The 14,369-nt window shown below is 38.2% G+C and overlaps 2 protein-coding genes and 1 pseudogene across 5 annotated transcripts in view; 1 reads left to right on the top strand and 2 right to left on the bottom strand.

Annotated features, from left to right (window-relative positions):
* STON1-GTF2A1L (STON1-GTF2A1L readthrough) overlaps positions 1–14,369 on the bottom strand; it is a 246,595-nt gene that overhangs the window by 130,615 nt on the left and 101,611 nt on the right. For 2 of the 3 annotated variants that reach the window (NM_001198593.2, NM_172311.3), the window contains exons 6-7: positions 3,448–3,503; positions 788–872 (exon numbers count right to left, since the gene is read on the bottom strand). The exons of the other annotated variant lie outside the window; for it this stretch is intronic. In NM_001198593.2, coding sequence (NP_001185522.1) covers positions 788–872; positions 3,448–3,503 — 141 coding nt within the window. The remainder of the gene's footprint in view (positions 1–787; positions 873–3,447; positions 3,504–14,369) is intronic. 3 annotated transcript variants of the gene reach the window in all.
* The window catches only part of GTF2A1L (general transcription factor IIA subunit 1 like), a 61,749-nt gene that overhangs the window by 33,700 nt on the left and 13,680 nt on the right, over positions 1–14,369 (bottom strand). For both annotated transcript variants that reach the window (NM_006872.5, NM_001193487.3), the window contains 2 exons: positions 3,448–3,503; positions 788–872 (listed from right to left, as the gene is read on the bottom strand). In NM_006872.5, coding sequence (NP_006863.2) covers positions 788–872; positions 3,448–3,503 — 141 coding nt within the window. The remainder of the gene's footprint in view (positions 1–787; positions 873–3,447; positions 3,504–14,369) is intronic.
* On the top strand, positions 12,436–13,225 carry TPT1P11 (TPT1 pseudogene 11; annotated as a pseudogene).

Raw genomic sequence — 14,369 nt, 5'->3', positions numbered from 1 at the left:
AGGCCAAGGCAGGTGGATCACGAGGTCAGGAGATCAAGACCCTCCTGGCTAAAACGGTGAAACCCTGTCTCTACTAAAAATACAAAAAATTAGCCGGGCGTGGTGGCCGGCGCCTGTAGTCCCAGCTACTTGGGAGGCTGAGGCAGGAGAATGGCGTGAACCCAGGAGGCGGAGCTTGCAGTGAGCAGAGATTGCGCCACTGCACTACAGCGTGGGCGACAGAGCGAGACTCCATCTCAAAAAAAAGGACTTATTTTTGAGTGTTGAGTTAGGTGCTTTACTTAAACTTTACAACAACCCAAAGAAGAGGTATGATCCTCTTCAAAATCAAGAGATGGTGCTCGGAAAAGCAGAAACCGGTTAACCTCCAAACTATTGGATGTCCTATCAGACCATGCAATCCCTAATAAGAAAGGGGGCAAAGGTTGATCATCCTAATCTTTAATCCGTAATTAGAGCTAGCAGGAATGCAGGTAAGTTATTTTATTTTGTATTTGTTAAAATTTAGATAACTGACTTGAATTAGAAAAAATATATACAAAGAACCCCTATACAATGTTGGGAAAGAGAACTGGGAATCAAATATAGGACAGGCCTAGTACAGTGCCTTTTGTGGTAGATTGTCTCTATAACAATCAAAACCACCATTTATCATTACTTTTAAAATCAATTTTATTAAAAGTTCTTATAACTTCTGGTATATAGTTTATTTAAAAATCATGAAGCTTAATGTCCAAAAAATAGTACCAATGCTGAAAACAAAAAGATTCTTAGAATATACTCTCACCAGATACAGTCTGTAGTGTCACACCTGCTGGTACATGAATGGGATAACCAGGAAAAGTAAAGTTTGCACTGGAGTTTGAAGTGCCCTAGATATAAGAAATTTATATTAGAAAGTTAGAAAAGGACTTTACTTGTATCTTTTTTTCCCTGATCTCACAGGGAGTCAAAAAATCTGATTCTGGACAATAGTTTGACAATACTTAACATTTAATATTAGGGCTGAGTTCTTTGAATAAAATAGTTTTCAATATCGATCATCCCATTAAGGATCAAGAGGAATCCTATTCTACAGTTATTAGCAATGAAGCTAGTAAGTCCTAATGAACAGTATAAACATTAACTCAAAAAACTTGCCCAAGACATAGCTTTGCAGGGCCATTGGTTCTCAGACCTGCAAAAATTTGAAAGACTGATAACATCCAGTGTTGTTGAGAATGTGATAAAAATTGGTTCTCTCAAACTACTGTTTGTATGAATGTATATTGGTACAACCCTTTTGGAGGATAATTTTTGCAATATATATACCAAAAATGAAAATACAAATGACCTTTGACCCATGAACTCTACTTTTAGAAATTTATCCTGATTATCACAGAAACACACAGACATATACACAAGCATAATCAATAGAATACTATATTAGAAAAATGCTGGAAATAATTTAAATGTTCACCAACAAAAGTTTGTTAATTAAACTGTGCTGCATCCACGAAGGTCAATTTGTACTAACTGAAATTGAAAGCAGTCCATCTATATTACTAAATTAGAAAACAGAAATTACAGAAACAGTAAAAAGAGTATCCCTACTTTTTATCCTAAAAACTAATATAGCTTTCATGAAAGAAGTCTGGATGAATAAACATCAAAGAGTTAAAACATTTATTCTTGGAGTATAAGACTACAGAACTCTTTATTTTATTTATAAATGTTTTGCATTTTTATTTTTAAGAGACAGGGTTTCATTCTGTTGCCCAGGCTGAAGAGCAGTGGTGCAATCATAACTCACTGTAATCTCCAATTACGAGGCTCAAGTGATCCTTTTGCCTCAGCCTCTCAAGTAGCCAGGACTACAGGCACACACCACCATGCTTGGCTAATTTTTTTAAAAAAATTTTGTACAGGCCGGGCACGGTGGCTCACGCCTGTAATCCCAGCACTTTGGGAGGCCATGGTGGGTGGATCACTTGAGGTCAGGAGTTTGAGACCACCCTGGCCAACATGGTGAAACCCCATCTCAACTAAAATACAAAAAATTAGTTGGGCATGGTGGCGGGCGTCTGTAATCTCGTTACTCGGGAGGCTGAAGCAGAAGAATCACTTGAACCTGGGAGGCGGAGGTTGCAGTGAGCCGAGATCATGCCACCGCACTCCAGACTTGGGTGACAGAGTAAGACTCTGTCTCAAAAAAAAAAAAAAAAAAAAAAATTGTATTAATATGGTCTTGCTATGGTGCCCAGTACCTCAGTCTCCCAAAGCACTGAGATTACAGGTGTGAGCCACTGTGCTCAGCCCATTTTTACTTTTTATTAATACAAGCTTATTACTTATTTTAACAGGAAAAAAAATATTTGTTTGAATTCCAAAGGCAGAGGTATTTCTTCATTGGTCTCCTATCAAAAGCAGCACCATTCTTTCCAAAAATCCTATTAAGGTGTGTGGTTTTGGCTGTTCTTAGTGAAGAAATGGAAATAACTAGCCCACTAAGCATTTGCCCTACAAAGGCAACCTATGGGCTGAAAGAAAATTAAAAAACAGTTAGTAGATTATGTACTACTCTCAGTACCATGGAAGAAAGATAAAAGTGAAAAGCTGCTATTCTTCTCTACCCGAAAAACTACTTGGTTTTCTATGTTAACTTGTAAATGTATCTTCTGCCTTCAAGTACTAAGGGGGAAAATATAAACAAGCTATACTTCACGAAGGTACAAAATGACAAAAATATTCCAGTTTAATTAAAGTCAAAACTATGATGTTGCTCCATTCTAGAGGGGAAAAAAAATCTGAAAAAAAACCTCAAAATTATTTATTTAGGATGTAACAAGCATATAACATTATATAGTGTATTAAAACCCCATACAACATAACTTCAGACATTTCCTAACCTTGTAGGTACAGTCTTGGAAGATGCTAACAACTGCTCTGAAAGACAGGAAAACTTGGCAAGAAAATGTCAATTCTGGAACTTCTGCGTTTTATTACATCTATGCTACAGATGCTATTCTGTCACCCCACTCTTTACCACATCTTTTTTTTTTTTTCTTTGAGACAGAATTTTGTTCTTGTCACCCACGCTGGAGTGCAATGGCATGATCTCAGCTCACTGCAACCTCCGCCTCCCAGGTTCAAGAGATTCTCCTGCCTCAGCCTCCTGAGTAGCTGGGATTACTAGGCGCCCACCACTACACCCAGCTAATTTTTGTACTTTTAGTAGAGACAGGGTTTTGCCATGTTGGCCAGGCTGGTCTCAAACTCCTGATCTCAGGCAATCCACCTGCCTCAGCCTCCCAAAGTGCTGGAATTACAGGCGTGAGCCACCGCGCCCGGCCACATCTTTTCACTTTCAACTGGAGGGTAAGAAATTACATCTATGTTCAGCATTTTGCCACCACTCGCTAACAGTGGGACATGTCTTTTAAAATATATTTTAAGTAAGCTACATACCAGTTCTGCTGTGGTAAAACTTGGAAGAGTTCTACCAGCAGGAATAACTAATGATGCTGCATAGGAAACAAAATAAATATACATTCATTAGAATTTACCAATTTAATAAAATCACTAAATATAGCTTATTTTTAAAAAATATTTTCTATCACTAACAGGTTAAACCATGGTGAATTCTAAACTTCCTGATTCCAAGTGCGGTAAAAAGTAATTATATTTTTTGCAACAACTTCACATAAAGACTTTACAAATAAACTCCTTTAAGTGCTGAAAGAAAATATCTCATTGTAATCAACTATACTGTACTTTGGAAATCCATAACAAAACACCTAGATTGTCCTTATTAAGTCAAGTAATATTTATTAAATATTTATTAAAGTGGCACATTTCCGTGAGACTATAATATTGAGCATAAATATGTTAACCCAACATAAACCCATTCTAAATTGTATAGGTTCAACATAAATTCCAATTCATTATTTTATGAAAAGTTATTTACAGTACTTTGGTCAAGTAAGCAAGCACACCTGAACAGTTTTAGGAACAAATGAATAAGAACATGTCTCCTCAAGTCTCTGCAATAAAACAGGTACAATTGCTAAAAATATGTAAGAAAACAAATCCCCAGAATGACAACTCGACCTACATTAGACCTACAGTCCCATATATCTTTCCTTTATTATCTACCAGTTTTCTATGCTAACCAGCCTTTCATTTATAATACATCTCAAAGATTGACCAGCTAGTTGTAAATGTAATCTATCATTTAAAAATAAGCATAAAGAAAAAATAATAACTACAGTAGAAGGATCTTAGTTGATCAATGTAACCATATACCTTAGATACTCAAGGTTCATTTTACCTGAACATGACTAAATATAGCTGTTAGAATGTCATTTTCCCTCATCTTTAATAAAAACACAAACTTTAGCATGTTTATATGTTAATGTAATATTTATTATGGCCTGTTTTTCACAAACTGCATTAAGGAAAATTGCCCCAAAGATCTGTTCCTGACATTAGAATGGCTCCGTCACATAAAACAAACAACTCATAAAAGCAAACATTTTTTTAAACTAACCATTCCTTCCACGTTAAGACAACAGAAGAAAGGCTACAGATTGATGGTTAATGAAGCACAGAATTATTTTTATCCTCTGTTCATCTACGACCTTGCTTATTAACAGGCATTATTTTAGAAAAGCTAAATTAGAAAGAATTGAACTGGCAGGAACACAGTGGTATTAGTCTTCATTAGCTGAAGTGAGCAAAGCTTAAGCTGCTGCAGCTTAAGTAATAGCCGGAGAGGAAATAAAAATCTGTTAACACATTGTCTAAAGCAATTAAATGAATTCCTTGAGAAAAAATAGCAACAATCATCCTCTTTTAGGTACCTTGCAATAAATCCTGTAAGATAATTCTCTATATTTAAATAAATCAAACAGTACAATAAGAGAGTTTTTAAAGTTTCTTTATAGACATTGGAATAAAAGCATTGAACAGTTTTATAATGAAGTTTCATGCAGCTCCTACTTAATTTTGATACTAAACTAACAAGTTATATACTTGAACATATAAAAATAATAACTTATTTTTATATGCTCACAAGTTATACCTTTAAATGTGCATCAAACAAATTTTAATATTCAAGATGGTTTTAATAACAAAGTAAGTTTTAAATGAGTATATATTTTTACTCAAACTAAAAGTGTCATAACTTTGGTCTTCATGTGTATGTTCTAGAAATACTAAATTTTTTAACTTTTATTTTAAGTTCAGGGGTACATGTGAAGGTTTGTTCCACAGGTAAACTCGTGTCACAGATTTTACAGATTATTTTGTTTTACAGATTATTTCATTATCCAGGAATTAAGCCCAGTACCTAGTAGTTATCTTTTCTACTCCTCTGCCCCCGCCCACCCTCCACCCTTAAGTAGACCCAGTGTCTGTTGTTTCCTTGTGTTCATGAGTTCTCATCATCTAGCTCCCACTTAGAACATGCAGTATTTGGCTGTCTTTCCTGCATTAGTTTGTTGAAGATAATAGCCTCCAGCTCCATCCATGTTCCCACAAAAGACATGATCTCATTCTTTTTTATGGCTGCATAGTATCCATGGTGTATACGTACCACATTTCCTTTATCCAGTCAGTCACTGATGAGCATTTAGGTTGATTCCCTGTCTTTGCTATTGTGAAAAGTGCTGTAATGAACATTCGCATGCGTCTTTATGGTAGAATGCTTTATATTCCTCTGAGAATATCCAGTAATGAGATTGCTGGGTCAAATAGCAGTTCTGCTTTTAGCTCTTTGAGGAATTGCCATACTGTTTTACACAATGGCTGAACTAATTTGCACTCCCACCAACAGTATATCAGTATTTCCTTTTCTCTGCAACCTCACCAGTATCTGTTCATTTTTTACTTTTTAACAACAGCCATTCAGACTGGTGTGAGATGGTATCTCCTTGTGTTTTTGATTTGCATTTCTCTAATGATCAGTAATATTGAGCTTTTTTTCATATGCTTGTTGGCTGCATGTATGTCTTCTTTTGAAAAGTGTCTGTTCATGTCCTTTATCCACATTTTAACGGGACTGTTTGTTCTTCTCTTGTAAATTTGTTTAAGTTCCTTATAGATGCTGGATATTAGACCTTTGTCAGATACATAGTTTGCAAATATTTTCTTCCATTCTGTAGGCTGCTTCCTCTGTTGATAGTTTCTTTCACTGTGCAGAAACTCTTAAGTTTAATTAGATCTCACTTGTAAATTTTTGCTTTTCTTGTGATTGCTTTTGGTGTCTTTGTCATGAAATCTTTGCCTGTTCCTATGTCCAAGATGGTATTGCCTAGGTTGTTTTCTAGGGTTTTTTACAGTTTGGGGTTTTATATTTAAGTCTTTAATCCATCTTGAGTTGATTTTTGTATGTGGTGTAAGAAAGGGGTCCAGCTTCAGTCTTCTGCATATGGCTAGCCAGTTATCCCAGCACCATTTATTTTATTGGGAGTGCTTTCACCATTGCTTACTTTTGTTGACTTTGTCAAAGGTCAGATGGCTACAGGTGTGCAGCCTTATTTCCTGGCTGTCTATTCTGTTCCATTGGCCTATGGGTCTGTTTGTACCAGTACCATGCTGTTTTGGTTACTGTGGCCCTGTAGTATAGTTTTAAGTCAGGTAATGTGATGCCTCCAGCTTTGTCCTTTTTGTTTAGGATTGCCTTGGCTATTCAGGTTCTTTGTTAGCTCCATATGAGTTTTAAAATAGTGTTTTCCAGCTCTGTGAAGAATTTCATTGGTAATTTGATAGGAATAGCATTGCATCTGTACATTGCTTTGGGTAGTATGGCCATTTTAATAATATTGATTCTTCCTACCCATGAGCGTGGGATGTTTTCCCATTTGTTTGTGTCTTCTGATTTCTTTGAGCAGTGTTTTGTAATTCTCATTGTAAAGATCTTTCACCTCCCTGGTTAGCTGTATTGCTAGGTGTCTTATTCTTTTTGTTATCCTGGTTTACCTCTCTGCTTGGCTATTGTTGGTGTATAGGAATGTTAGTGATTTTTGTACATTGATTTTTGTATCCAAAACTTTGCTGAAGTTGTTTATCACCTGAAGGAGCTTTTCGGCCGAGACTATAGAGTTTTCTGCATATAGAATCATATCATCTGCAAATAGGGACAGTTTGACTTCTTCTTTTCTATTTGGATGTCCTTTATTTCTTTGTCTTGCCTGACTGCTATAGCTAGGACTTCCAAAACTATGTTGAATAGGAGTGGTGAGAGAGGGCATGCTTGTCTTGTGCTGTTTTCAAGGGGAATGCATTCAGCTTTTCCCCATTCAGTATAATGTTGGCTGTAGGTTTGTCATAGATGGCTTGTATTATTTTGAGGTATATTCCTTCAATACCTAGTTTCTTGAGAGTTTTTAACATGAAAGGCTGTTGAATTTTATCTAAAGCCTTTTCTGCATCTATTGAGATAAGCATTTGGTTTCTGTCTAGTTTTGTTTATGTGATGAATCACATTTATTGATTTGAGTATGCTGAGCCAACTTTGCATTGCAGTGATAAAGCCCACTTGATCATGGTGGATTAGCTTTTTGATGTGCTGCTAAATTCGGTTTACAAGTATTTTGTTAAGGATTTTTGCAGTGATGTTCAACAGGAATATTGGCCTGAAGGTTTCTTTGTTGTGTCTCTCCCAGGCTTTGGTATCGGGATGATGCTGGCCTCACAGAATTAGCTGGGGAGGAGTCCTTCCTCCTCAATTTTTTGAAATCGTTTCAGTAAGAATAGTAGCAGCTCTTCTTCGTACATCAGGTAGAACTCAGCTGTTTATCCATCAGGTCCTTGGCTTTTTTTGGTTGGTAGGCTATTTATTACTGATTCAATTTTGGAGTTCCTTATTGGTCTGTTCAGGGAATCAATTTCTTCCTCGTTAAGTCTTGGGAGGGTGTATGTGTTCAGGAATTTATTCATCTCATCTAGGCTTTCTAGTTTGTGTGCATAGAGGTGTTGTTCACAATAGTTTCTGATGGTTATTTTTATTTCTGTGGGGTCAGTGGTAACACTCCCTTCATTTCTAGTTGTGTTTATTTGGATCTTCTCTCTTTATTAGTCTAGCCAGCAGCTAGACTGATGGTTTCTGATGGTTATTTTTATTTCTGTGGGGTCAGTGGTAACATTCCCTTCATTTCTAATTGTGTTTATTTGGATCTTCTCTCTTTAGTAGTCTAGCCAGCAGCCTATCTATCTTATTAATTTTTTCAAAAACCAACTCCTGGATTCATTAATCTTTTGAATGGTTTTTTGTGCCCTGATTTCCTTCAGTTCAGCTCTAATTTTGTTCATTTCTTGTCTTCTGCTAGCTTTGGGGCTGAAGTGTTCTTGCTTCTCTGATTCTTTCAATTGTGATGTTACGTTCTTAATTTGAGATCTCTCTAACTTTTTGATGTGGGCATTTAGTGCTATGAATTTCCCTCTTAACACTGCCTTAGCTGTGTCCCAGAGATTCTGGTATATTGTATCTTTGTTCTCATTAGAAATAGTAAATTTAACAATAAATTTTAACATAGCAAGAATTCAACTCCACAAACATAATTTTAAGAATGTTATAATACACTAACATGGCATAACAATATCCACATTCATAAGTGTATTGTTTCTTATTCACCATCAAAAATTCTTTGATACATTGCGGCAGTTATAGTTTTATGATTCTTGGATCTTCTTTGAACCAATCCAAATTTTAATAATAAAATTACATGATTCAGGAAATATAGAAACAGGTGAATTTCTTCTTTGTGAATACGCATTAGCATAAAAGATGTCTCCTGATGACCAAACAATATTCTAACTCTCAAATCACCTAAAGAACCAACCACATTGCTGAAATTTTCAACACATCTAAGTTCAAGAACAATCGGACATACAGTTTACACCTATACTTTAGGAGTTTTAATGCTCAAATATGAAAGCAACCACAAACCTCTCAGTGTCCCTGTTCCTCCCTTCCCTTCCTTCCATCATGACTGATAGTATCATTTTAAAAAGATCATGTGACATGAAGACCAAATACAGAAGCTGACTTGAAGTCCCCTAGAAATAAGGTAATCATAGGGTGACTACACGTCCCAATTTGCCCAGGACAGTCCCAGTTTACACCTGTTATTCTGAGGTAATTATTAATAGAACCCCATTTGTCTCTCTCTCAAAACTAGATTATAAATTACATATAGTCACCCTACATGCAGAACAACAGTTCTCGGAGTGTAATATACAAACCACTGAGGCTACCTAAGACCATTTTCAGGGTGTTTATAAGGTCAAAACTATTTTCATGATACCAAGACAAAGTATGCCTTTTTCTCATTTAGTATTTTTATTTGGTTTTGTTGACATTTGAACTGATGATGCAAAAGCAATAACAAGTAAAACTGTAGACATCTTAGCATGAATTAAGTTAGTAGCACCAAACCTTGCAAGTGGTCACTTTATTCTCAATTGCTACTCACAGTTAAAAAAACACAACAGACAAAAACAGCAGGAACAACCACAAAGATATTTCACTTAAGGTAAGAAAGTCCTTTGCATAATCTAAGAATTATTATACTAAATTTCAACTAGCAAGTATACTTCCTTTTAATATTTTACGAGATGAAATAGAAGGATAAAGCATTTCTGCAGCATGCAAAAGTACAAGGAAAAGCATTTGTGTCATTGTTTAAGCTGGGAGTTAATATAGCCTTTTTTTCCTCAGGTGGCAGATTAAAGCCTGTTAGCAGGCCTCCACCATTTGGAAATAACAAAATAGTAAATAAAGATCAATGGTTTGAGCTTTAATTCAAGAAGGAAAATGAGAATCTAATGGAATCATGCAGGATACTCCAAATCCCAAAGACGAGAATCCTGCCAAACAGCCACTGTGATGGCATTTGGCTGATAAAAGTAAGTGAAGCCCCAGTACATGAGAGAGAAAGACAGCCTCCCTCAGTGACTCACCTTTCCACAGGAGATCAGAGCAACTCAGGCTGAGGGAGAACTTTTTTTTTCCTCCCAATCCCTGAAGCTAACTTGGGGAAAGGGTTGGAGACGCTGTGAGGGAAAAACACTAGGAGAAGCTGCAGACACTTTCCCAGACATAGGACCAAGCACAGGATGCCATTTTTAATCTGGTTGCATACAAAGTCAGCCATTCTAGGTAACCCAGCTGCATGGCCATACAAGCATTTTACTCTTGCGCCACAGACTGAAGCACCTGCTCTGGAGCAGGGTAGTAGCCTCCACAGCCTCCACCACTTCTGAGGTGGAAAGCACCTCAGAAGTAGGTATTGGAATTATACTCTTCCCTATTGCAAGCCTGGAGTGGGAGGAGAGCTGCTACAGTTGCAGTCTCTCCTGGGCAATGAGACTTGCAGCCAGGGCCAGCTTGGCAATCTGAAACTGAACTGCATGTGCCATCACTTGGTGCCCCTGCTGTTCCCCTGGGATCGAGGTGAAGTGGGGTCCCCTCTGCTCCACCCCCCAAGCAGAAATCCAGGCATTCAGGGCACCTGCTTGCGTGACCAGCAGCCTGAGCCACTCATCTTTCATGGACAGAGATCATGCTGCAGAAGGGTCATCTCCACTCCATGCCCAGGCAGATGTCTAGACCTTTGGAGCACCCACTCACCTTGATTAACAGCCTGATCCACTCCACCCTTCCTGTGCAGAGATCCTGGTGCAAGGGGGCCCTCTCTGCTACACACCTAGGCAGATCTCCAGGTATTCATAGCACCTGCTTGCCTGGTCCACTAGCCTGAGTCATCCCACCCCTCCTATGCAGAGATCTTGATGCAGGAAGGCCCTCTCCACTCCATGCCCAGGCAGATCTCCAGATATCTGGAGCACTCACTACCCTGGATTAGAATTTTAGGCTGCCCCTCATCACTGTGCAGAGAACTTGGGGCCAAGGAGGTTTCCCAGTTCCATGCCTAGATATACCTCTGGGCACCTGGTGGCTGCCCACTGGATTCTCCCTCAGCTTCAGTGCTTGTACCTGCCACTGGGGGACCTGTAGATGGATGTGCCCAATCTGGCCCCACTCTTCATGGCCCCTGCCCTCCCAGACTGTCAAAGGTCAATGCTAAAGAAAAAATCTTAGAGGCAGCTAGAGAAAAAGGTCAGATCCTGTACAAAAGGAAACCCTTTAGGCTAAAAGCAGACTTCTCAGCAGAAACCTTACAAGCCAGGAGAGACTAGGGGCCTATTTTCAGTATTCTTAATGAAAAGAAATTCCAACCAAGAATTTCATACCCTGCCAAGTTAAGTTTCATAAGCACAGGAGAAATAAAGGTTTTTTCAGACATGCAAGCATTAAAGGAGTTAGTTACCACTAGACCACCATTACAAGAGCTCCTTAAGGGAGTTCTAATCACGGAAACAAAAGACTGATGCCAGCTACCATGAAAACACACTTAGGCCTATAAACAGACCCTATAAAGTAACCACACAACAGAAACTACAAAGCAACCAGCTAACAATTTCATGATAGGATCAAAACCTCACATATCAGCCAGAGACACAGTGGCTCATGCCTGTAATCCCAACACTTTGGGAGGCCGAGGCAGGCAGATCACTTGAGGTAAGGAGTTTGAGATCAGCCTGGTAACATGGTGAAATCCCGTCTCTACTAAAAATACAAAAATTAGCCAGGCGTGGTTATGCTCGCCTGCCATCCCAGCTACTCAGGAAGCTGAGGCAGGAGAACCTCTTGAACCCGGAGACGAAGGTTACAGTGAGCTGAGATTGTGCCACTGCACTCCAGCCTGAGTGACAGAGCAAGACTCCTTCTCAATAAAAACAAAACCTCACATATCAATATTAACCTTGAATGTAAATGGTCTAAACACTCCACTAAAAAGGCACAAAGTGGCAAGTTAGATAAAAAACAAGATGCACATAAAACACCCATAGGCTCAAAATAAAGGGCTGAAGAGTGATCCACCAAGCAAATAGAAAACAAAAAAAGAGCAGAGGTCACTATTATTATATAAGACAAAACAGACTTTAAACCAACAATAAAAAACAAAGAAGGCCATTATATAATGATAAGCATTCAATTCCACAAGAAGTCTTAACTATCCTAAATATACACTCACCCAAAATTGGAGCACCCAGAATTACAAACAAGTACTTCTAGACCTACAAAACTCTTATACAGCCATACGATAATGGTGGGGGACTTCCCCCTATTGAAATCCTACTGAAAACATTAGATCATCGAGGCAGAAAACTAACAAAGAAATTATGAATTTAAACTTGACCAATTGGACCTCATGGACATCTACAGAATACTCCACCCATTGGCCATAGAACAATACTTTTCTCATCTGCACATGGAACATACTCCACAATTGACCGTATGCTCAGCCATAAAGCAAATCTCAATAAGTTCAAAAAAATTATCATACCAACCATACTCATAGACCACAGAGGAATAAAAACAGAAATCTCCTTTTCCACCCACTCCTCCCACCCACCAAGCACTGCTCCAGCTGCATCATGTTCACTCTAATCTCTGGAATCCTGCTAAGCCAGCACCACCGCATCTCCCTTCAGCTGCCATCAAGATTATCTACCCGGACCTTATCAGCCATGATGAGCTGTTCTCCAACATTTACAATATCTGGGAGATTGCAGACTGGCTGTGCCTGGAAGTGGGACGGGGGGGTGGGGAAGAAGATAGTCAGTAGGACAGAGGGTAACATTGACAGAAATGCCTCCGCAGAAGGCCCTGAGGGTGAGGGTACCGAAAGCACATTAATCACTTATGTTGATACTGTCATGAACCATCACTTGCAGGAAACAAACTTCAAAAAGAAGCCTACAAGAAGTACATCAAAGATTACATAAAATCAATCAAAGGCCAACATGAAGAACAGAGACCTAAACAGTAAAACCTTTTATGACAGAAGCTGTAGAACAAACCAAGCACATCTTACTAATTTCAACAACTACCAGTTTTTTACCAGTAAAAACATGAATCCAGATGGCATAGTTGCTCTACCATGAGGATGGTGTGACCCTGTATATGATTTTCTTTAAAGATGGTTTAGAAATGGAAAAATGTTAACCAATTGGCAATTACTTTGGCTCTATCACCTGTCATCACAACTGCTTGCTGCCTATCACCCACATGACACAATGACTTAAGATAAATTGGACTGATGTCAACTTGAGCTCTTCATTTATTTCGACCATTATATCTTTGGAGTGGAAGCATTGTTTTTAAGAAAAACAGGTCGGCTGGCGTGGTGGCTCACGCCTGTAATCCCAGCACTTTGGGAGGCCAAGGCTGGTGGATCACAAGGTTGGGAGTTGGAGACTAACCTGGCCAATATGGTGAAACACCATCTCTACTAAAAATAAAAAAATTAGCTGGGCATGGTGGTGCATGCCTGTAATCCCAGCTACTCAGGAGGCTGAGGCAGGAGAATCGCTTGAACCAGGGAGTCGGAGGTTGCAGTGAACCGAGATCACGCCACTGCACTCCAGCCTAGTGACAGAGTAAGACTCTGTCAAAAAAAAAAAACAAAAAACTTGTCAAGTAGGTTGTCTAAAAATAAAATGCACTTAAACTCATTTGAAAGAATCCTTTTTAGTTTAATATATGTTTATGCTAAATCCATCCTATAGTATTCCTGGAGAGGTTAGAGCCTGGTTGTAAGCCACTACTAGGATGAATAAGACTATCATTAGATAACTTCTATAGAGGGAATTACTTCTGGGACTGGAATATAAAAAAGAATCAAGTTTTAATTCTCAGTTGAGTAAAGGAAGAGACCACGCTCACAGCAGTACCAACATCTGAAGTAGAGCCTTATACATTTTTATCACCTACAACAGAAGTAGTTAACTCTGGAAGACATTGCCAAGAGAATAAAAAGACTAATAACAGTTGGAAGCAAAAAACAACAACAACAAAAACAAAAACAAATGTATACCAAGATTTTTCCAAATCACACAATTACATGGAAATTTTAAAACTTGCTCCTGAATGACTTTTGGGTAAACAACAAAGTTAAGGCAGAAATCAAAAAATTATTTGAAATAAATGAAAACACAGACACAACATACCAAAAATCTCTGAGATGAAGCAAAAGCAGTATTAAGAGGAAACTGTATAGTACTAAATGCCTACCACAAAAAGTTGGAAAGATCTCAAATTAACAATCTAACATCAAACCTAGAGGAACTAGAAAAACAAGAACTAACCCTAGAGCCAGATGAAAAGAAATAACTACAATCGGAGTGAAACACAACAAAATTGAGACCCAAAAATCCATACAAAGAATCAATGATTTTCTGACAGTGATCATTAAGGGGGAAAAAAAGAATCAATGAAACCAAACACCGGTTCTCTGAAAGGATAAACAATATCGATAGAA

The sequence above is a fragment of the Homo sapiens genome, chromosome 2, assembly GCF_000001405.40.
Source record: "Homo sapiens chromosome 2, GRCh38.p14 Primary Assembly".
Classification (NCBI taxonomy): domain Eukaryota; kingdom Metazoa; phylum Chordata; class Mammalia; order Primates; family Hominidae; genus Homo; species Homo sapiens.
This window is presented reverse-complemented; position numbering and strand designations above follow the sequence as displayed.